General features: G+C 41.2%; 1 long non-coding RNA gene across 1 annotated transcript in view, besides 4 other annotated features; it reads right to left on the reverse strand.

The window, feature by feature from the left end:
* The window catches only part of LOC124903082 (uncharacterized), an 85,010-nt gene extending 74,632 nt beyond the window's left edge, over positions 1 to 10,378 (reverse strand). The window contains exons 1-2 of the long non-coding RNA XR_007063592.1: positions 10,071 to 10,378; positions 5,343 to 5,411 (exon numbers count right to left, since the gene is read on the reverse strand). This is a non-coding gene — a long non-coding RNA (uncharacterized LOC124903082). The remainder of the gene's footprint in view (positions 1 to 5,342; positions 5,412 to 10,070) is intronic.
* Positions 9,432 to 9,551: a silencer, noted in NCBI's record as "silent region_4897". NCBI's record gives its function as "represses an Ori minimal core promoter by ATAC-STARR-seq in GM12878 lymphoblastoid cells {active_cell/tissue: GM12878}" and the evidence as "EXISTENCE:reporter gene assay evidence [ECO:0000049][PMID:35858748]".
* Positions 9,712 to 9,951: an enhancer, noted in NCBI's record as "active region_7079". NCBI's record gives its function as "activates an Ori minimal core promoter by ATAC-STARR-seq in GM12878 lymphoblastoid cells {active_cell/tissue: GM12878}" and the evidence as "EXISTENCE:reporter gene assay evidence [ECO:0000049][PMID:35858748]".
* Positions 10,162 to 10,211: an enhancer, noted in NCBI's record as "active region_7080". NCBI's record gives its function as "activates an Ori minimal core promoter by ATAC-STARR-seq in GM12878 lymphoblastoid cells {active_cell/tissue: GM12878}" and the evidence as "EXISTENCE:reporter gene assay evidence [ECO:0000049][PMID:35858748]".
* Positions 10,242 to 10,291: an enhancer, noted in NCBI's record as "active region_7081". NCBI's record gives its function as "activates an Ori minimal core promoter by ATAC-STARR-seq in GM12878 lymphoblastoid cells {active_cell/tissue: GM12878}" and the evidence as "EXISTENCE:reporter gene assay evidence [ECO:0000049][PMID:35858748]".

Below are 24,129 nucleotides of genomic sequence, written 5' to 3' on the forward strand. Positions count from 1 at the left end.
AGTCCAATCACCAACTATCAACTCAAGCTGGAGGAAGACAAATGAAGCTTTCTCCCTTTTTCCCTACACAACTTTAACACCACAATTACAGACGTACACATCAAGGTAGGAAGATTGTTGTTGTTGTTGCTTGTTGTTTGTATTTTGGTAGAGCTTCTTTTATCTTTTGTTCTTGGAATTTAAAAGATCTAAGGGAGTTGACCTGGAAAGATATTTATACTTTATTGGAGAATGGGAAAAGTTGTTTACTGGAAGATATATACAGTTTCATCTCACTTTTATGGACATATAAGTGCATGCCTGTGTGTGTCTGGGTGTATATATAATACTTAAGAATGTACAGAAAATGTGGATGAATATAAATTAAAAGGTAGTTTTCATTTTAAGTAACAAAATTGCAGATCATTGTTATTTTTCTCTTTGTGTTTATATGTTTTTTTTCAAATTTTTAACCTTTTAATATTGCCACCACTTATGGAATACTTGCTATGTGTTTTCATAAGTGCTGTTTACATCCATTACCTCATATAATCCTTTCAGATACCCCACGGAGAAGGGTCCTATTACTGTTCCCATTATGCAGATCAAAAAAGTGAAGTCCAGAAAGATTAAGACTCTTGTGTAAAGTCACAAAACTCATAAGTTATAAGTTTAAGATTGGATCGGCCGGGTTCTGTGGCTCACGCCTGTAATCCCAGCACCTTGGGAAGCCAAGGCGGGCAGATCACGAGGTCAGGAGATCGAGACCATCCTGGTCAACATGGTGAAACCCCATTCCTCCTAAAAATACAAAAATTAGCCAGGTGTGGTGGTGCGGGCGTATAGTCCCAGCTACTTGCAAGGCTGAGGCAGGAGAATCACTTGAACCTGGGAGGCAGAGGTTGCAGTGAGCTGAGATTGAGTCACTGCACTCCAGCCTAGTTACAGAGCAAGACTCCATCTCAAAAAAAAAAAAAAAAAGGGATTGTGTTTTTCATGTGAAGATATTTTTTAAACATTATCTAGAGAAAGAACTATGGAATTAATTCCTAAGAAACCAATTTAGAGAGTTAAAGGGAAGGGCAAAACTCACATTCATTTGAAAACTCCCTACCACATTTTCTAGAAGCCAAGTTGTTTGGCCAAAGCTCCAGATATTGGTGTGGTTAAAATGAAGTGAGAAAAAAAGCAGACCAGCAAAGAGCACGATGCCATTTTTCTAAGAGAGAGACAAAGAGAGAGAGTGTTATATTTTCATCTAAGATGATTTTCATTATAAGATTCAATATTGATTTGATGTCCTCTTTTATTTAGAGGGGTATGAGATGAGTGGTGTGAAATATTAAATATATGTACCTATCCTTTATTTTAAGATGTGTCCTGATCTCAGACATCAGGAGAGCATGTGTGTACCTTAGAATCAAGGAATACTCATGGCAGATAATCTTTGCAGAAATAAGGACCAAAGGCCGGGCATGGTGGCTCAGGCCTGTAATCTCAGCACTTTAGGAGGCCGAGGTAGCTGGATTACTTGAGGTCATTCGAGACCGGCCTGGCCAACATGGCGAAACCACGTCTTTACTAATAATATATAAATTTGCTGGGTGTGTTGGTGGGCACCTGAAATCCCAGCTACTCGGGAGGCTGAAGAATTGTTTGAACTCGGGAGGTGGAGGTTGCAGTGAGCCAAGATTGCACCATTTCACTCTAACCTGGGCGACAGAGTGAGATTCTGTCAAGAAGAAAGAAAGAAAGAGAAAGAAAGAAAGAAAGAAAGGAAAGAAAGAAAGAAAGAAGGAAGGAAGGAAGGAAGGAAGGAAGGAAGGAAGGAAGGAAGGAAGGAAAGAAAGAGGGAGGGAGGGAGGGAAGGAAGGAAGGAAGGAAAGAATGGAGGGAGGGAGAAAGGGAGGGAAGGTAGGAGGGAGGGAAGGAAGGAAGGAAGGAAGGAAGGAAGGAGGGAAGGAAGGAAGGAGCAAAATACTCCAAGGAACAAAATATTCCTTATTATCTCTGCATTTCCCATGTTTTCTACATTGAATCCTTATCGCTTTTGTCATAATTAAAAGTTTATTTTAAAGACAAAGCAATTGCACTCAAAAACATCTTTCTGCATTATACCCCATCTCTCATTATACCCCTTTTCTTTGTATGAACCCACAGGGGCAGAGATCTGTAGACCTCTCTGTTCCTAGAAGGGTTAAGCTATGTTTCTGGAGACCACTAGTATTTGACCTACAGCTGACCCATTTTACAGATGAGAAAAAGAAGAATCAAGTCAAATACAAGTTAGAATTCTCAGCCCCTATATTTTAGCAAGGGTCTTTTTGTTGTCTAACAACCTACTTTATAACCCCAAGAGGGTGGTGGATAGAAAGAGAGATATGAAAGGGAAAATCTCATAGAACACCCCAAACAAAAGCAAAGTAGAGAAAAACCTCTTGGAAAGTGACACTAGCTACAATGTTGCTGGAGTAAATATCCAGGGCCAGTCATTTGGAGACCTTTACTCTCCTAATGTAACTCAGTTCTATTCACTTTTCACGTTTGAGTGTCTTCCTCATTTCCTCACCTGTATATCTTCCTTGTCCCTTATAGCACCTCCTTCCTTGCATCTTCCAAGTTACCATGGTTCCTCCGGCCTTAGCTTTGCCCCACACAATCTCTCTGTACAACCTTTTAGCTCCCAAACTTCCCTGTCACCGCCACTCAGTGTCCTCCCAGCTAACTTACAGAAAGAGAGAGAATTACATTGGCCTGTTCACCTTCATCTGTGCCAAGTAACACCACCGGTGACAGCTCAGCTGAAAGGCAATCTATAAAAGACTTCCGCTGAGTCCACGGTGATCCTTATTTCCTTGTATATTGACACCATTCATGCATTTATGGGATCATTCATTTATTCATTCAACAACTATGTATTGAGCACCAACTCTCTGGTAGTTCTAAGCACTGGGAATATAACAGTAGACAAAACAGGCAACAGTGACACAGTGTGTGTAGGGGGGGTCAGGCATTAAATATGATATGTATGTAAATTACATAGTGTATTTGATAGGAATAAATAAGGCAGAGTGAAGTGGAGGGGGAGGTATTAGGGAGGTTATGATTTTAAATAAGATGGCCAGAATAGGCCTCCCCGAGGTGACATTTGAACAACAATTGGGGGTAAGGGAGTATTCCATGATGCCATCTCGGGAAGGAGTTTCAGGCAGAGGAGGCAGTGAGTGCAAAGGTCCTGAGGTGGCAATCATGCCTGGTATGTTTGAGGAGCATTATGGGAAGTCTGTGCCTCTGGAGGAGAGTGAGGAAAAGAACTGTGCAGGAGATGAAATCAGATACCCCCCAGCAGGTGGAGGGTAGGTGGCCAGGTAGAGCCTGTGGGTCACTGTAAGCAATTTGGGTTTTCCCCTCCTTAGTCTAATGAAAAAGAATATTTCACCAAAGCACTTTAGGAGCCCCTCTTTGCACATGTATTGAGGTGTTAAAAACAGAAAAAGGCTACAACAACTTTTCTTTGGGGGAAGAAAAGCTAAAATCATTACGCAGATAAAGTGCATAGAAAGTCCCAGTTGTGGTGCTGGCATGTGTACACACACATATACACGTGTATGCGTGCCTGCTCTCTCTCTCACACACACACGCACACACACACTGTCCTCCCCGAGAAGTAGGGGTGATATAAATAGAGACATGGCGACGGCGAAGGTGGCAGCCTGGAGCCTTGGGCTGAGGTCGGATGAAGCCGCGGCACTAACGCTAATGAATTCTGATGATTTGGAGCGGTCATTAAACTAATAAGCCCATCTCCAAATTAGCACAGCGGTTGCAGCCAGGGAACATTTAATCAGGCCACCTTCATTATTTTAGACACGGCACACTTGGCGAAAGTGGCTGTAGGAGACGAGACTGGGGACCCTCATCTGATAATTTTATCACTTGCCTGCCAGAGCGTGAAGGAATCAGCGTGATGAAGTTGCCCTGTTGGTTTCTTTCCCTGCCAGAAGGGAATGCCAGGGAAAAGCAAGCCTTCGTCTCCTCTATAATTACATGATCCCCATCTTTTTAAAAAATGTCTTGTGATACATTCATGATTTCCAATTTTGAATGTATTCTTAGAGTTTTGCTAGTTGGTGTCTACCTTCTAAAGAGCTTCTGTGCTTCAATTCCTCCCATTCTCTCTCCACCTCCCTCTCCTACCAAAAATTGATCCAACCCCTGGCCCAGCAACCCCACCCTTGCAAACCTCAGCTCAGACAAGGCCATGCATGAGGAAGGAGGGTGGTGGGTGCCCATGGAGATTTTCAATTCCTCTCTTGAAATTTCTAGCCACACTCTCTTTTACATATGCCCCAGCATTCCCTGAAATGCCACCTTTTCTGGGCCAGTTTGTAATCTCTGTGGCCTGATCAAAGATGAGGGTGACCAACTCACCTTGGGTTTCCTGGGACTTTTAGCACTGAAAGTCCCATGTCCTAGGAATTCCTTAGTCCCTGGCAAACTGGGACTGCTGGTCCCCGTGTCAGAGATTCAGCATCATTTCCTTCTCATAGTGGGCTTCAGTTTTTTGAGTGTAGTTTGGGTTTATGTGGTTGTTATTAATAAAGGATGAAATGCTGTTTCCCATAAGCAGCTCTCCCTCTCTCTCTCTTTCTCTCTCTCTCTTCCCCTATATTTCTTCTCTCTGATTCTGTCTCAATTTCTTCTTCTCATTAGGAAGATTAGATGAGTTAACGCTCCATGCATGGGAAAGTTCTGTAAAGATAATTGCATCCAACCCCTTCATTTTAAAAACAACTCAAAATCGACATCACAGAGTGCATGGGGCGGGGCTTTCCCAGCCGGGAGGAGCTGCATGTGGAAACTGAGGCTTAGAGAGTTAAATACTGCACTCAGGATGCCGCAGGCTCGTCCTCGGTGGTCCCTTGCTTCATCCCCAGGCCTGCCTGACTCCAAACACTGCCCTGGTAGGCACTGTCTTCTATGGCCTTAGGGAGCCACTTAACTTCAGTTTCTCCATAATACAAAAAGATAAATAATCCCTGCATTTTCTTCCTCACAGGAAGATTTAGGGTGGAATGAACAAACATACTATAGACGTTCTCTCCAGGAAAAGCAAGTGGTGAACAGTCTAATCACCATTGTGTTTACCCAGGTCCTTTCCCTGGGGTATTCACTTTTCTCTGCCTTAGATAGAAATAGAAAGAGTGTGTGTGTGTTTTGTGTGTGTGTGTGTGTGTGTGTGTGTTTATTAGCTACTGCTGAACAATTTCTCCATAGTTCTCAGAGAAAGTGGCCCTCTGTAGGCATAAGAGGGATAGAACATTGATCCTACAAAAGCATGCAAAGCTAACAGCTGTTCTTACCTTTACAAACACTTCTTTCAGGCCTGGGGAGGCCTCCTGGTTGGAGGATCAGGGAATTAGGCCATGAAGCTGCAGAAACAGGGCAGAAGAAGAATTAAGTAAATAAACATGCCATTTGAAGGTGATTAAGTGGTTGACAGGAACCTCATCGTGGGTGGGTTAGTTAATCAATATTTACTGAATCCTTACATTAGAGGCCATCTTGAGTCTTTAGAAGATGTCGTTCTTGCTGCAGAGGTAATGGAAAAGATCTTTAGAAAGCCAAGACTCCAGTCCCGGCATTTGGCAATCTATACCCTTTCTGACATGATAATGCCCACGATCATTTATTGAGCATTTACTAGGACCCATGATGTACATTATTGAATGTGCATTATTGGTAAATATATATAATAGTAAATATACATAATATATTTTATTTTAAAATATACATTATGAAGTGTATGTTATTTTTATTGGATTCTCACTGTAATCTCTATGAGAAAACTGAGACTCAGAGAAGCTAAGTGACTTACCTGCTGGAATGCAGGCTTCTGCGTACACTTCTCAACTTCCACGGATTCTGCCTCCCTTCGCCTGAGTATCATTCCAGATAGGCTAGAGCAGAACTCTGGGATTCTTATTATGTGCACAGATCACCCGAGGCCCCTTATTAAAATGCAGCTCCTAGATCTGGGTGCAGTGGCCCATGCCTGTAATCCCAGCACTTTGGGAGGCTGAGGTGGGTGGATCGTTTGAGGTCAGGAGTTCAAGATCAGACAGGCCAATATGGTGAAATCCTGTCTCTACCAAAAAATACAAAAATTGGCTGGGCATGGTGGTGCATCCCTGTAGTCCCAGCTACTCAGGAGGCTGAGGCATGAGAATCGCTTGAACCCAAGAGGCGGAGGCTGCAGTGATCTGAGATCTCACCACTGCACTCCAGCCTGGGTGACAGAGTGAGACTCTGTCTCAAAAAAACAAAAACAAAAACAAAAAAACAAAAAAACAAAAAAAATGCAGTCCCTGATTCAGCAGGTCTGAAAGAAGGGTCCAAGATTCTGAATTTCTAACAAACCCCCAGATGAGGCTGATGCAGCCAGTCTGCAGGTCACTCTTTGAGTGTCAAGGGGCTAGGATTTGTGGCAGTAACAAACATCCCCCAAATCTTGATGGATTGAAATAACAAGGGCTCATTTCTTGTGCATGCTGCATGTTCATCACAGGCTGGCTGAGGGCTCTGCTCCATGCCATCCTCCCTTTAAGAATAAGGATAATGGAGGAACTATCATTTGGAATACTGCCATTCTCAAGAGCAGAGGAAAAAAGATCTCTGGTGGATCTCTCACTGGCATTAAATGCCCATCAAGAAGTTCACAACTCATTGGCTAGATTTAATCACATGACCCTAACTAACTGCAAGGAGAGCTGAGATTGTCTATTACATTTGGGAAAGATGAAGAGCCAGAAATATTTGATAAGCATCAGTAAAACCATCACAGCCTCCTACAAATAAATCCAACAAGTGTTTACCAAGCACTGATTAAACAACCAACACTATGGGTGATATTCAAAAAACTCTTCGCTCCCTTTCTTGTGAACCCTGGCTACTTCAACAATAAAAAGGAAAAAATCTGAATGACAGTTCGAATTACATGCACACAAAAGGCACATCAAAAGTTTTGCAACTTTAAAATATGCAGTGACTACAAAGGATCTTTTTGACTTATGCAAAATTTGAATTGCACAAGACTTTCCAAAATAAAAACTCTTGCATAAGCTGGGAGTGACTGTGTTTTAAATGGAGATCACTCTGTACGCACATTTTTGCATACTGTCTTTTTTTCTTATCATTTCTATATCTTGGATTTTATAGATGACATCATTTTCTCAGGCTGTAATATTCTATGACGTATTTAACCAGTCTTTTTTGTTGAATATTCAGGTTCTAATTTTTTTGGCCATTATATTTTTTTCTTCTTTAAGAACACAGTACATCATTAACTCTAGTCACTCGGTTGTAAAGCTGATCTTCTGAATTTATTCCTGTTATCTAATTGAAATTTTGTGTCTTTTGGCAAACATCTCCCCAACAACCACACCCCCTCCACTAGCCCCTGAAAACCAGCATTCTACTTTCTGTTTATATGGGTTAAATGTTTTTAGATTCCACATATAAATGAGAGATCATGCAATATTTGTCGTTCTGTGGCTGGCTTATTTCACTTAGCATAATGTCCTCCAGTTTCTTGCACATTGCCACAAATGACAGGATTTTTAAAATAAAGCTGAATATTATTCCACAGTGTATATCTACCACATTTTCTTCATCTATATGTTGCTCTGTTAGTGGGCATAGGTTGCTTCCATAACTTGGCTGTTGTGACTAATGCTGCCACGAACATGGGAGATGGGAGTTCAGTGATCTCTTTGACACGCTGATTTCACTTCCTTTGGATGTATAACCAGTAGTGAGATTTCTGGATCATATGGTGGCTCTATTTTTTTTTTTTTTCGAGACGGAGTTTTGCTCTTGTTGCCCAGGCTGGAGTGCAATGGCGTGATCTCAGCTTGCAACCTCCACCTCCTGGGTTCAAGCGATTCTCCTGCCTCAGCCTCCCAAGTAGCTGGGATTACAGGCATGCGCTACCATGCCCGGCTAATTTTGTATTTTTAGTAGAGACGGGGATTCACCATGTTGGTCAGGCTGGTCTTGAACTCCCGACCTCAGGTGATATGTCCACCTCGGCCTCCCAAAGTGCTGGGATTACAGGCGTGAGCCGCCACGCCCAGCCTCTATTTTTAATTTTTTGAGGAACCTCCATACTGTTTTCCATAAAGGTCATACCAACTCTGCTATTATTTGCAACAATGAATTAGCTGATGGCAAAATATTTCTGCATATTTATTTCTTTAGAAAAAAACACTAAAAGTAGAATCATCCAGTTAAGAAAAATGAATGCTTTTAAGAGTTTTGCTATGCAGTGTCAAAATGCTACCCTAGAGCTTATACCAATTCAGATTCCCATCAGCATTCTATGAATGTCCATTTCATCACACTCTCACAAGAATGATAAGTAGGTTTTAATCACAAATTTGAGAGTAAAATATGTTATTGCAATTATGGCTTGTGTTTCTCTGGTAACTAATGTGTGTGAATATATATAGTTTTAAATATTCATTAGCAAAATTTTCATTCTTTTTCACTTATTAGTTTATGTCCCAGTTCCATTTTATTTTCCTTTGGGGTTTTAGAATTTTGCTTATTCTATGACTGCTTTATGTAAAAGAGCACTTAACCCTTTGTTGAATATATATGTAGCTAAAATTATTTCCAGTATGTCTCTTGCCTTTTAGTTATCTTTTAAAAAATAAATAAATAAATAAATGATATTGGGGAGACCTGATTTGGTGTAAGTGCTAAGGGAACAATTTGACAATATGTATTGAAAGTTTTTAAAACTTAATACTCCTTGAATAAGCAATTCCACTTATGGAAATTTTTCCTAAGGAAATCCAAATGAATCTGCCAAAATATTCAGGTACCTGATTAATCATTGTAGTGCTGCAAATGATAACAAAATGAGGTCTTTATTTAGTGAGACCTACCCATTCTTTCTTTCCTTGTGTTTCCTTTTTATTGTTTATATCAATGTTATACTAAGAGACATAAAGATGATGTCATTTTACTATTCTTTGAAGTTTTCTTTTTTGCTTAATTAAAAATGGATAGATAGATAAAACAAACATGGATAGCTATATGATAGTAGATGATAGGTAGGTACGTAGATAGATTAGATTAGATAGATAGATAGATAGACAGATAGATAGATAGATGATAGAGATAGATACATAGATAGATAGACAGACAGACAGATAGATACACAGATAATAGGTGGGGTGAATGGATGGGTAGATAATCATATATATAATTATGTATATAAATACTGTGTATATAGATATACAGATACATATATGTATGCATGTATGTATACACACACACAGAAGGAGAGACAGAAAGGGGGAGAGAGAGAGACAGAGACAGAAACAGTGTCAGAGAGAGACAGGGAGAGAAAGAGAGAGCGAGAGAGATCCACTGGTTCCCTATATTGAATGTACATGAGGATCACATGCAGAGCTTTAGTAACTTACACAAGTCTGGGCTCCTCCTCCAGAAAGAATGATTCAGTGGGGTTGGGTGGGGCCCAGGCATGGAGGAAAGAGCGTGAGCAATGGTACTAGGAAGAGAAGCCAAGAATCAGAGAAAAAACAAGGGGGCAGCTGAGTCACCTCCAAAGCAGAGAGCTAGAGTTCAGAATGAGCAAGCTCCTGCCTAACTGAAAGTAAAATCCACACTCCGCCAAACGGCACTGAGGCTGCATTCCCACCCAGCCCTGGAGCATTGCTCAGAGCCCACCTTGTCCCAGGCTCCCCAGCCTCAACCCACCCAGTTCCCCTGGTTTTTGTTTCTGTTTCCCCAAAATGCCAAGCCGGTTTCTGTCCCAGGATCTTTGTTCCTGAGCTTCTCTCTGCCTGAGACATGGCTGTTTCTCATTATTTATTTAACAAAGTACAAAAGGCACATCCTCAGGGGCACCCTTCCTGGACTCTTTCTTTCAAACACCACCCCAGTTCCTCATAACCAGGTACTTCCTGCCTCATGACCACATCTTGGGGCTCTCTCCTCCATCCCTCTCCATGGCTCAGTTCTCTCCATCTCTTTCTCACCTAACCAGGGCACCTGCTCACCCCTTCAGCTTCTGCTGTGGGTTGTCAGTAATTCAAGTCCATCAGGCTCATCTCTGGAAAGGACAATGGGGATGGTGTCACATCATCTTCCAAGTATGACTTTCAGTTTCTCTTCACCTATCGATGTGCTATTATGCCAAAAGCCTGTCTGCTCTCTTGCTCTCTCTGCCTTCAGTTGTATTGCCAAATGTGCCTTTTATTACCCTATCCTTGGTGTATGCCATTCTGGAGTGTGGGTAGGAAATACTGCACCCCATATATGAATTGTTCCACTGATCTCTTGAAAACCTAGAGTGAGAATATATTTAATGAGGACCTACCATGTTCTAGGTATTGTGATGGGCAATGAAGATTAAGATGTTCTCCCATTAGTCAAGGATCTTTCAGGCACTCTTCAGTTTGCCACAGTCCCGGTGACTCCCTATCGTTCCCCTTAGCCTGCTTTATACATTTCTTACTCGCCACGTCCCTGTCGCCATTTGAGATTCTAATATTTGTTGTTGAAATTGTTAAGAAGTTTACAGCAGGTTTTAAGCAGAGATGTGACAGGGATCTGTTTTGTTATTTATAGGGGACATAGACATGTAAACACAATTCCAGTTCTGTAAATGTCATTAATCATGTACTATTTGTTGAGCACCTTCTATGTGCCTGGCCTGTTGAAGTCCTGGGCACTGTTTTAGGTGCTATGACAAGAGTAAGGCAGAATGCCTTAAGAATGTACCAGAGGATCCCTTTACTCACTTCGAGGATTCAGATGGGATTTCCTGATGGAAGATGGTGACTAAGAGCGAAAGAGTCTGCAAGGGATAAAATGCTCCAGGCAGAAGAAATAGAAAATGCAAAGCTCAGGGTTAAGAACATGGGGAGTTTGAGGAGGTAAGAGCAGTTCAGTAGGCAATGCAGGGGGTAATAGGAATTCAGAGTCTGGAAGGATAAATAAGGGCCAGTGGTTCCAAACTGCAGATTCAAGAGCCAAACGCTACCCTTCAAAATGTGTGTTTTGGGACATTCATGTGCTGTTGAAAAATATTTTTGAAATGGTTATCATTCAAAAATGGGCAGATTTCACATAAACATATAAACTTTCAACTTATATTTTAAATGGGGGAAAATCTGGTCACAGTGGGCCCAGATTTGCATGTGTCAACTGTCAGCCAAGAATATGTATCTTCTACTTCTTGTCTCTCTAATTTGCCATAGTCTCCACCCATCTCTACTGCTTCCCACTTGTCTTCCACTTCTCTCATTTATATTCCCTGCCTGGTCTCTGCACACAGTTATGCTTCTGATACCTGTTGTTGGGATAGAGAAGTCAGCAGAGGCCAGATTCCCTAGACCCTTGAAGGCTGTTTTGTCTTTATCTTTAAAGCAATGAGGATCTGTTAAACCATTTGAAAGAGGGGAACAATTGGACTTTTGTGATTTGAAAAAGAACTCTCTGGTATATAATATGCTCACCAGAAGACAGGACCTGGACTATTCATAGTTGTAGAATTTATAAGAATTCCTGGCTGGGGTGCGGTGGCTCATGCCTGTAATCCCAGCACTTTGAGAGGCCGAGTTGGGCGGATCATGAGGTCAGGAGTTCAAGACCAGCCTGGCCAACAGGGTGAAACCCCATTTCTACTAAAAATACAAAAATTAGCTGGGCATAGTGGCATGTGCCTGTAATCCCAGCTACTCGGGGGGCTGAGGCAGGAGAATTGCTTAAACCTGGACCTGGGAGGCAGAGGTTGCAGTGAGCCGAGATCACGCCACTGCACTCCAGCCTGGGCTACAGAGCGAGACTCCATCTCAAAAATAAATAAATAAATAAATAAAATAAAAATCAAGAATTCCTAACTGAAAACTTCCCAATGCCTGTTAACAGTAGAATTAAGAAATCATTGAATAACTGTGGCCTATTCACACAATGAGTCCTATGCAGAGATTAAAAAGAATGATCTACAACTACCCACAATAACACAAATGACTCTCACAAAAATGAGACACAAGAGAGGGCATGCCTTAAAATTCCACTTAGGTAAAGTATAAAAAGAAATCATACTAGTTTATGGTGTTACAAGTCCAGATACCAGTTGCCCTCGGGCAAAGAGGGATACAAGGGGTTTGATGAGGTTCTGTTTCTCATGGGTGCTGGTTACACGATGTGTTTAGTTTGTGACAATTTATTAAGCTGGACACTTGAGACCTGTGCCATTCTCTGATGGTCCATGAATTTAAATATTTTTAAAATGAACTTTTTTGGTACCATTTTCGAAATGATGGTGGCTGGCCCAAGATAGTGGTTCTCAAACTTTTCAAGAATGGAGTTAAAAAATGATAAATAGGAGATAAAACCTACTAAACTTGGATTTGCAGAGATGAATGAGGAATGGGGGTAGAGGGAGATTTGGGGGCAGGAAAAACAACATGAGAACAACGACAGCCATTGGAGGGTTCCAGGTATGTTCAGAAGAAAAAGGGAAATCATTCATCTCGACTCTTAATAAAGTGGAGTGAGAATAACAGGAAACTACACAGATATCCCCCTACACCAAGTCAGGGATTCAAAGGAACTCAGAGGAAAAATAAATGCATAATTTGCTGATGAAACATTTACTTGCTTAAAAATGTCACATGATTTAAAAACACATGTAATAAGAATGGATGTGTGCCATGGAAAGTTGTCCCCCATAAATTTCCTCTAAAGGTGTCTAAAGTATCCTTCCTTTCCTTCAGGTACCATCTGCTTTAGGACTCTCTCTGCTTCCTCCTCTCCTCTCCAACCTCACAAATATCTTTATCAAATTCTTGTTGAAACATGGAAAAGAAAAATATTTCCAGCAGTGAAAGCTTTAACTTGTCACCTCCTGTTCTTCTCGAATTTCTAAAGCACGGAGGCCCAGAGAATATGTTTCCAATATCCTCTCGTCTCTCTCTGTTAGCATTTTGCTCCCTTCTACACCAAGGAGGTTCTGACCCCTGGTGTCTCTTGGGGATGAGGGGTTTGGAGTGGGGTCAGGCTTGTCAGAAAGGGAGAAGCCACGGCCGCCTTGAACAGCCCACGTCCCCCGGCTCCTTTAATACATTTAACCTGGAAGAGGCATTGCTCCAGCCAAGATTAGATTACGGGGTTGGTGAAGGTGGCCTAACAAATGGCAAATGGTGGCATGTGAGGCTGAGCTAATCTCTGTTGACACGCATCTAATGCAAGGCCCGTGTTGAAGGCAGCGGGTCCCGTCTGCAGCTCCAGTCTGCCTTGATGACCAAAGGGGGAGGCGAGGCCCAGGGAAAGCCACTGAGATGCCTGTCTCTTTCAATCTGAGAGCGCCTGGAGTGTGCACGTCATTATTTAAAGGTCTCCTGGTACCAGCTAAATGTCTCTGCTTCCTATGGGCACTGAGGTCGAGTTCAGCTTTTCTCAGAATGAGCTTTTGATTATTGGAATTCTCTAAAATCATGTTGACCTCCCTGGAAGTCTGAGAATTATATCATTCATTCATTCAACGAATTTGGATTAATTTCTCTTTTGTGCAGAGCCCTAGTAGAGGTGCGTCAGACTCCAATTCTTTGTTCCCTGTGAAAGTCACATAGATAAGTCCAACTCTACTACCTCCTATGAGAAGTTGGACAGATTTAAATTTTTCAAGTCCCGGTTTCCTCATCTAGTGCTTGTCTGGCTCCTACATTTACTCCAGGGCCCTTGATATGGATTTGTGTCCCTGCCCACATCTCATATTGAATTATAATACCCAGTGTTGGAGGAGGGGTCTGGTGAGAGGTGATTGGATCATGGGGGTGGATTTCCCACTTGCTGTTCTCATGATAGTGAGTGAGTCCTCACAAGATCTGCTTGTTTATAAGTGTGTAACACCTCCACCTTAGCTCTCTTCCTCCTGCTCTGGGCATGTAAGATGTTGCCTTCTTCCCCTTTGCCTCCCATCATGATTGTAAGTTTCCCAAGGCCTCCCCAGAACCTGTACAGCCTGAAGAAATGTGAGCCAATTAAACCTCTTTTCTTTTTGTAAATTACCCCGTCTCAGATAGTTCTGTATAACAAAGAGAGAATGGATGAATACAGCCCTGCACATGCTAGTAACTATTTGTAGAACAGGATCATCTATAGAATAAACACAGCTGACTAGAAATACACATGCACAGCAGAATTTAGTAGCCTAATCATGTATCCAAATGCCATCTACATGTTATATTTTGTGGCAAAAAGTTTGTCATCTCTACTTTCCCCCTGCTTCCATCCCACTAACTAGAATGTAAGATCCACAAAGGCAAGGATTCTCAAGCACCTGGATTAGTGGCTGAATTGTTGTTAGGAGTATAATAAATATTTGGAAAGCATCTATCAAATAGTGAGTTAATGAGTAAATGAATGAATGAATAAATGAATGGAAAAATTTATTGGATCAATCCTCCTGGAAGGTAGACCATTGACATATTTAACATCTCTGCATATCATTTTATTTCCCTTCTCTCTTTTTCAATAAGATCAATTCTTCTGCCTTTTAAATATTAATTAAGCTATCACACATTTGGTACCATGTAGCCAGGCTCTGTGGCCAGATAATCTGGGCTTCAATTTTACCTTCATCACCTGTTAATTGGGTGATTTTGGCAAGTCATTAGGCCTCTGTGTGTGTCCAATAACTCAGTTGTAGAATGGAGGAAATTACCAACTACTCAATTAGGTTGGTGTGAGGTTCAAATGAGTTTATGTAGGTCAAGTGCTAAAAACAGTGCCTCACACATTGGTAGCTATTACAAATGTTCATAAGTGTTGAATAATGTTGATATTTAGTAAAGTAAATCTATTTGAGAGAGGCTGGGTGTATAATGGCTCATGCCTGTAATCCCAGCACTTTGGGAGGCCAAGGCAGGATTGTTGAGCAGAGTCCAGGAGTTCAAGACCAGCCTGGGTTAACATAGTTAGACCCTCTCTATATAAAAAATCACATACACGCGCACACACACACACACACACACACACACACAACTAGCTGAGAATAAAGAAACTACAAATAATATTAGAAAACAGAAAGAAAAATATAAACATGAGGGCTAGTTTTAACCACTTTAATGAGGTATGACTGATGTTCAAAAACCTGCACATATTTAATGTATACAACTTGAGAAGTGTGGAAATAGGCATACACTCGTGAAACCATCACCACAATCAATGTCATAAACACATCTATCACCTTCAAAAGGCTTCTCCCACCCTTTTTATTTGTTATTACTATTTTTTGTGATAAAAACAGGTAACATAAGATCTAATCTCTTAACAAACTTTTAAGTATGTAATATAGTATTATTAACTGTAGGCACTATACTGTACTGTAGATCTCTAGGAGTTATTTATCTCATATAACTAAACTTTGTACCCTTTGACCAACAGATCCCCATTTCCTTTCCCACTAACCCCTGGCAATCACCATTGTACTCTCTGCTTCTACGAGTTTGACTAAGTTAGATTCGTCGTATACAGAAGTTTATGCGGTATTTGTCCTGCTGTGCCTGGCTTATTTCATTTAGCATAATGGTCTCCAGATTCATTGATGTTGTCACAAAGGTAGGATTTCCTTCTTTTTAAAGTCTCAATAAAAGTATATGTATATACCACATTTTCTTTATGCATTCATCCATCAATGGGAATTGAGATTGCTTTCATGCCTTGGCTATTGTGAATAATGTTGCAATGAACATTACGTTGTAATGAAGTGCAGATATCTCTTTGAGATCTTGATTTCAATTCTTTTGGATATATATTCAGAAGTGAAATTGCTGGAGTTTATGGTAGTTCTATTTTTAATTTTTGTAGGAACCTCCATACTGTTTTCCATACTGGCTGTGCCAATTTACGTTCCCACCAGCAGTGTACAAAGGCTCCCTTTTTTCCACATCCTCACTTACATTTATTATCTTTGGAGTGAGATAATAAGTGATACATAAGAGATAACAGGTGCGAGATGGTGTCTTATTGTTGTTTTGATTTGCATTTCGCTGATGATTGATGATGTTGAGCGCCTTTTCATATACCTGTTGGCCATTTGTATATTTTCTTTGGAGAAATGTCTACTCAGATCCTTTGCCAATTTTTTAATCAGGTTATTTGGTTTTGGGTTTTGGGGTTTGGGTTTGTTTTACTATTGAGTTGTAGGAGTTCCTCATGTTTGTTTGTTTGTTTGTTTTGAGACAGATTTTCACTCTTGTTGCCCGGGCTGGGGTGCAATGGCCCGATCTCAGCTCACTGCAACCTCCGCCTCCCGGGTTCAAGTGATTATACTGCCTCAGCCTCCCGAGTAGCTGGGATTACAGGCATGTGCCACCATGCCCAGCTAATTTTTGTATTTTTAGTAGAGACAGGTTTCACCATGTTGGCCAGGCTGGTCTTCAACTCCTGACCTCAGGTAATCCACCCACCTTGGCCTCCCAAAGTGCTGGGATTACAGACGTGAGCCACCGCATCCGGCCTATATGTTTTGCATGTTAACCTTTTATCAGATATATGGTTTGTACGACCATAATGTTTAAAATAAAAAGCACACTATATAAATACACACATATAATTTACATCACAACAAAATAATCAATATTCTGGAAGTAGAAGTTACCAGATTAAAGAAACAGAGGACAAGCGTCATTGAACAAGCATCATAGAAGACAGTATTCAAAAACTTTATCCCCCAAAAAGATTCAGAGGTCAATTTTAATAGTCAGTTTTTCAACGTGGATACATTGGTAATTTTCATGCCATACGTATACATTTGTTTTAGACCATAGGGAAAGATGAATCACTGCGTACTGCATTCTTTGCAGCTGTGACACTGGCAACACAGCGGAAGACCAAATTGATACAAGAAAAGAAAGCTACAGACTAATCTCACCTAGAATCATAAATGCAAAAATCCTTACTAATTAACTTAAATATTACGTTAAAAACACGAGTCTTCATGTTCAGTGAGGGCTTATGCTAGAATACAATATAAAATAGCTCATCTGTATACCAAAGTAAAAATGTATAATAATTTCGATAGATTCATAAAAGGCATTAAAAAACATCAACATCATTTTACCAAAACATCTTTCAGAAAACTTGGAATAGAAGGATAGATATTTTTCGTAAAACTTTCTAAAGATTGCCTATCTTAAAACCACATGCAGAGTGCTATTTAATAGCAACTTGTATAAGTATTTTTGTCAGAATTGAAATATTAGGTTGGTGCAAAACTAATGGCAAAAATCACAATTACTGTTATGTCAACCTACTGAGACAATGATATTCACTATCACCATTAGCATTTAACATCTTTCCTGGGAGATGAGATGTAGGCAACATAAGAATTCATAAGACAGAAATAGATTAATAGACATAAAAAAGGAAAAAAAAAAGTCCTTTGCAGATGATATAATATTCTACCTGAAAACACAAAGGAAACAATTGAAAATCATCAAAACCCAATAAAGAGTTTAGTTGCATTGCCAGATACTACATAAAACATTCAGAAATCAATAGTTTTCTTAAACAGCAACAAATGGCTAAAAAATAAAAGGGACTCAGCTTCAATAGCAACCATTTTTATTAAATGCCTAGAAAACAATACAAAATATATAATACCATATGCAAAAAATTACTAAACATTCCTAAAAGGCATATGAAAATATTTGATTGAATGAAAAGATTCAACATTCTAAAGATGTCATTTCCTTCCAATTGTTTAAGATGCAACGCAATTCTAAAACAAAATACCAGTGATTACTTTTGTGAGTTGCCACTAAGGGGCAGGAGGGTGGCAAAGTAGTTTTCAAGTTCCTTTGGATGAGTAAATGTACAAGTTTAGCCAAGAATTTCTTTCCAAGGATGAAAGTATTTGCCTTTCCAGATGATAATGTTAACTAGCAACAATAATCAGATCATATGCATTGGAGGAAGGGTTGAGAGAATGTGCTCGAAGAGATAGAAGAGTGGACACAGAAATAGACTTTATTCAATGATTTAGTGTTTGATAAAGGTGGCAGCATGGCTCAGGGGAAATGAAGGGTTATTCAAAACAGGTGCTGGAGCATTGGATCTCTGACAGGTCCTCATCCGCTCTAAAGACTGCTTTTGAGCTTAATCATATTTCATTAACCTCCATGGTATCTTTTGCAGAATCTGCATCACCAAATTGCCTTTTTAAGGGCTTTTCAGGGGTACGAGAAGAAAGATAAAGTGATAAAGAAGAGCAAGATCCTATGAGGGTGAAATTCTGACCTCATTTCTTTTGCTGGTTCTCATTTCAGGTCATTTGAGGCAGCAGATACTCGGGTGCTAAAAATCCCTCCAAACATCTCAACATTTTTTCCCCCTCGGGATCAGTATGGTGTCACGGGAAGAAGTTTAAAGAATGAATAGCATGTCCAGCCATCCCACTGTGTGTCTATAGATGCCAGGCCAGCCCAGGAGGCAAGATGGTACCGTGTTAGAAGTACCCTGGCAGACCTAAGTTCAAACTTCACCTCTGCTACTTTCTGGCTGTGTGGGCAATTTTGGGCAAGTTACACAGCCTCAATTTCCCCACCCACAAAATGGGAGTTATGCTACCTATCTCAAAAATCACAATGAGGATTAATTCAGTTACTAACAATATCTCCTTTTAGACACACCGTGCCTCAGTTTCCCCATCTATACATTACTTGTACCTACCTCATGGGATTTGTATTAGTCAGTATTAGATATCATACTGGTAATAAAGACATACTGGAGACTGGGTAATTTATAAAGAAGAAGAGGTGTAATGGACTCACAGTTCTACGTGGCTGGGGAGGCCTCACAATCATGGCAGAAGGCAAAGGAGAAGCAAAGGCATGTCTTACATGGTGGCAGGCAGGGACAGCATGTGCAGGGGAACTCACCTTTATAAAGCCATCACATCTCATGAGGCTTATTGACTATGGCTAGAACAGCACAGGCAAAACCCACCCCCCATGATTCAGTTACCTCCCACTCGTCCCTCCCACAAAACATGGAGATTATTGGAGCTACAATTCAAGAAGAGATTTGGGTAGGGACACAGCCAACCCATATCAGGATTGCTGTGAGAATTAAGTGATTTAATATACAACAAAGATCCTAGAAGTGTTCTAGAACATGGCAAATACTCATTGTATGCTGTCAATTAATTTTATTATAGTCAAATCCAGATATTTGTTAAATATTCAACTGATAATGGTTATAATTATTATTAATAGCTTTTTATAATATCATTAGTCAGTATGTATTATTACAATATCTAACTGATTTTTTAACCTAACAAACTAATTTTCTTGCTGAGCTGATTTATCTGTTGTCTCATAGATGCACTTTCAGATTCCTGATGGCAGCCGCTATAAGCAAAAGTTTCCTGGAGGTGCTCCTCTCTCTCCAATCAGCTTCCCAGTTCTACAAAACTGGACTTCAGGTTGTCACATATAGAGGTTTTCAACCACTATCAGCTTTGGTCTTCCATGGTATTCAGCAAAGAACTAGCCCACATATTGTAGTGAAGACTCCCTTAGATCACATGACAGTATTTGAGACTGGAGATGCCATGTAGTGAGTTTGTTTTTTTTTTTTGAAATGAGAAGCGAGACATCAACTCACGGGTAAAGTACCCATAGCCGTTATTTTTTCCCTCCATTCTTCCCTCTCTCCCTTCACCCCAGCTAAAGACAGAATTTGACTTCAAATTAATTTGAGGCCAATGTTTTTCATACTGCTAGTGCTGAGAGAAGAAAGGCAACGGCTTCTCACCCGTGTTAACTTATACTTTCTCTTAACCCAAGGAATCAATACTGTATCACTTAGTCCTGGGAAGAGGGAGTAAAAGGTAGTTGCCTGAATGAACCTTTGGCATTCATTTATCTACAGAACCCTCCAAAAACAAAATTCCTATTGAAAGGAAACCTGCACAGCACCAGCTTGTACCTTGCACCTGTTCTGTTAAAGTCATTCACAGAGCAGAATACATTAGAATAGATAAAATGTTTTGGTGTGCAATCAGTCTATTTAGCATTTATTGCCTCAGAAAAACAATAAGAGGGAGAGAGAGAGAGAGAAATACATCCAGAGATATCATAGGATTTCTGGAAAGAAAGGGAAAAATTATCTCAGTAATATAGTATTGTCTTCCTTCCTTCCAAAAAAAAAAAAATGCCTCTCAGAGCTAGACATTTCCATCGAATAGCTCTATTAATGTTTTTCTCCCATGAGAAAATGTTCTGTTGGATTGGATTTCAGGCAGTGAAAAGTCCAGGTTGCCAGAACTAGCTTGAGGCTGTAGTGTGGTAGGGCTGGGGAAAAAAGATCAAGAGAAGTATTGGAGCACCCTCCGGCATGCACAAGCTGCTCCTGCCTCACTCTCCAGGCCAAGGTAAACGTGAAATCCAATGCTCAAAAAAATCTGAGTGTTTGTCATTGCTCAGAGAGAAAAATGCAACAGTTCCAGAAAAAGACTGCATTCACATTCTATGGGGAGCTTATACATTCAAGAAGCATGTACTGAGTAGCTGGCTACATGTTCCATGCTGTCTGCATTCACCCTTCACTGTAGATGAGAGACCACCTACTGTCCTCATTTTACAGATATAAGCCTGAAGTCAGCCAGCCCCACGTGGTTTCTCTGTTTTAACTGATGTCAGTGCTCTTGCAGACAACTGTTCGCATCAAAAGCATTCAGTGGTGAGCTATGCAGATTTTGCTGAAGGTTCCGCAGGGCAAAGGGGAGAGGATGTTTACATCACAAACTCACCAAAAAAAAAAAAAAAAAAAAAAAAAACACACACACACACACACACACACACACAAAACAAACAAACAAACAAAAAACAATGAAAGCTCCTCATTGGGCAAGTAGTCTCTATAGCTGACTCCTCCTTGTGCTTCCATCAGTGGAAAGTGTTCTCCATCCTTTGCCCAATGCGGTACCTGGCTTCTTTCCCGTTCCTCCTGCAGTTCCTCTGATGGAGCCTCAAATGCCTCCTCTTATTATGTAGTACACTTCACCCCCAGCCTAATTCCACTTCCAAGTATGTGCACCAACTCCCATCACAGGGTTAACCAACCCTTCCTACTAAGACATTCCCCACTGTGCCTGATATGGTTTGGCTGTGTCCCCATTCAAATCTCAACTTGAACTCTCTTTCCCAGAATTCCTACGTGTTGTGGGAGGGACCCAGGGGGAGGTAATTGAATCATGGGGCCAGTCTTCTCCACGCTGTTCTCGTGATAGTGAATACATCTCATGAGATCAGATGGGTTTATCAAGGGTTTCCGCTTTTGCTTCTTCCTCATTTTTTTCTTGCTGCTGCCATGTAAGAAGAGCCTTTCACCTCCCACCATGATTCTGAGGCCTCCCCAGCCATGTGGAACTATAAGTCCAATTAAACCTCTTTTTCTTTCCAGTCTTGGGTATGTCTTTATCAGCAGTATAAAAATGGACTAATATAGTAAATTGGTACCAGTAGAGTGGTGCTTTGCTGAAAAGATACCCGAAAATGTGGAAGCAACTTTGGAACTGGGTAACAGGCAGAGGCTGGAACAGTTTGGAGGGTTCAGAAGAAGACAGGAAAATATGGGAAAGTATGGAACCTCCTAGAGACTTGTTGAATGGCTTTGACAAAAATGCTGATAGTGATATGAACAATAAGGTCCAGGCTGAGGTGGTCTCAGATGGACGTGAGGAACTTGTTGGGAACTGGAGCAAAGGTAACTCTTGTTATGTTTTAGCAAACAGACTGGTGGTATTTTGCTCCTGCCCTGGAGATTTGTGGAACTTTGAACTTGAGCGAGATGATTTAAGATATCTGGCAGCAGAAATTTCCAAGCAGAAAAGCATTCAAGAGGGACTTAGGTGCTGTTAAAAGCGTTCCATTTTAAAAGGGAAACAGAGCAAAAAAGTTTAGAAAATTTGCAGCCCGATGATGCAGTAGAAAAGAAAAACCAATTTTTTGAGGAGAAATTCAAGCCAGCTGCAGAAATCTGCATAAATAGCAAGGAGCCTAATGCTAATCCCCAAGACCATGGGGAAAATGTCTCCAGGCCATGTCAGAGACCTTCCCGGCAGCCCCTCCCATCACAGGCCGGGAGGCCCAAGAGGAAAAAGTGGTTTTGTGGGCCAGGCCTAGGGTCCCCATGCTGCGTGCAGCCTATGGATTTGGTGCCCTGTGTTCCAGCCACTCCAGCCATGGCCTAAAGAGGCCAATGTACAGCTCAGGCTGTGGCTTCAGAGGGTGGAAGCCCCAAGCCTTGACAGCTTCCAGATGGTGTTGAGCCTGTGAGTACACAGAACTCAAGAATTGAGGTTTGGAACCTCTGCCTAGATTTCAGAGGAGGTATGGAAATGCCTGGATGCCCAGGCAAAACTTTGCTGCAGGGGCGGGGCCCTCATGGAGAACCTCTGCTAGGTCAGTGTGGAAGGAAGATGCGGGGTTGGAGGCCCCCCTCACAGAGTCCCTACTGGGGCACTGCCTAGTGGAGCTGTGAGAAGAGGGCCACTGTCCTCTAGACCCCAGAATGGTAGATCCACTGACAGCTTGCACTGTGTGTCTGGAAAAGCTGCAGACACTCAATGCCAGCCCATGAAAGCAGCTGGGAGGGAGGCTGTACCCTGCAAAGCCACAGGGGCAGAGCTTCCCACGTCCGTGGGAACCCACCTCTTACATCAGTGTGACCTGGGTATGAGACCTGGAATCAAAAGACATTATTTGGGAGCTTTAAAATTTGACTGCCCCATTGGATTTCAGACTTACATGGACCCTGTAACTTCTTTATTTTGGCCAGTTTCTCCCATTTGGAATGACTGTATTTACCCAATGCCTGTAACCCTATTGTATCTGGGAAGTAACTAACTTGCTTTTGATTTTACAGGCTCATAGGTGAAAGGGATTTGCCTTGTCTTAGGTGAGACTTTGGACTGTGGACTTTTGGGTTAATGCTGAAATGAGTTAAGACTTTGGAGTGCTGTTGGGAAGGCATGATTGGTTTTGAAATGTGAGAACATGAGATTTGGAGGAGCCAGGGGTGGAACGATATGGTTTGGCTGTGTCCTTATTCACATCTCAACTTGAATTGTACCTCCCAGAATTCCCAAGTGTTGTGGGAGGGACCCAGAGGAAGGTAATTGAATCATGGGGGCCAGTCTTTCCTGTGCTACTCTCATGATAGTGAGTAAGTCTCATGAGATCTGATGGGTTTATCAGGGGTTTCTGCTTTTGTTTCTTTCTCATTTTTCTCTGCCACCACCATGTAAGAAGTGTCATTCACCTCCCGCCATGATTCTGAGGCCTCCCCAGCCATGTGCCACCATAAGTCCAATTAAACCTCTTTTTCTTCCCAGCCTCAGGTATGTCTTCATCAGCAGTGTGAAAATGGACTAATACAGTACCTTTTTTGGATCAGTGAGGGTAGAGAGGCAGAGTGGGGTATGCTGGTCTCTTGCCAAGCTGGGTAAACAAAGGCCAAGAGAAGGGAGGCAATTATCTTGCTGTTAGGGAATAATAAGTTTCCAAATTCAGACATTCTAGTGTCTTTCACCTCTAGATCAGCCCACCTCTCCCAAAGCTCTGTGAAATTAACCAACAATTATGATTCTGGAAAAGAAAACAGAAAATAAAGGGTATGGTATAAAAATGCAAGAGTATTAGGCATCAAGAATACTAGATCTAAAAGGGAAGTCAGAGGTCAACACTGGTACACAGTGCCTAGAATTTCCTTTAATATCCAAGCACATTGGATTTTGTGCCTTGTCTTGGATACTCCCAGTGGCAGAGAGCTTAGTATCTCTTGAGACAATCTATTCCACTTTGGACAGCTCTGGGCAATTTTTCCTTTTCCCTGAGCCAAACTCAACTTTCCTTCAACTTTAACAATTGCTAATTCTTCCTTCTGGATCTATATAGCATAAATCAAGTGCCTCTTTAACATGATGTCTTTCTAATATTTGATGGCAGCTAAACCATATGTTATCTCATTCAGAAGCTTCCTGACCTCCTTGTGAGGTAGAGGTATTTTTCACACCCATTATACAGATGAGAAAGTAGTCTA

This window comes from Homo sapiens, chromosome 12 (assembly GCF_000001405.40).
Source record: "Homo sapiens chromosome 12, GRCh38.p14 Primary Assembly".
In the NCBI taxonomy this organism is placed as follows: Eukaryota; Metazoa; Chordata; class Mammalia; order Primates; family Hominidae; genus Homo; species Homo sapiens.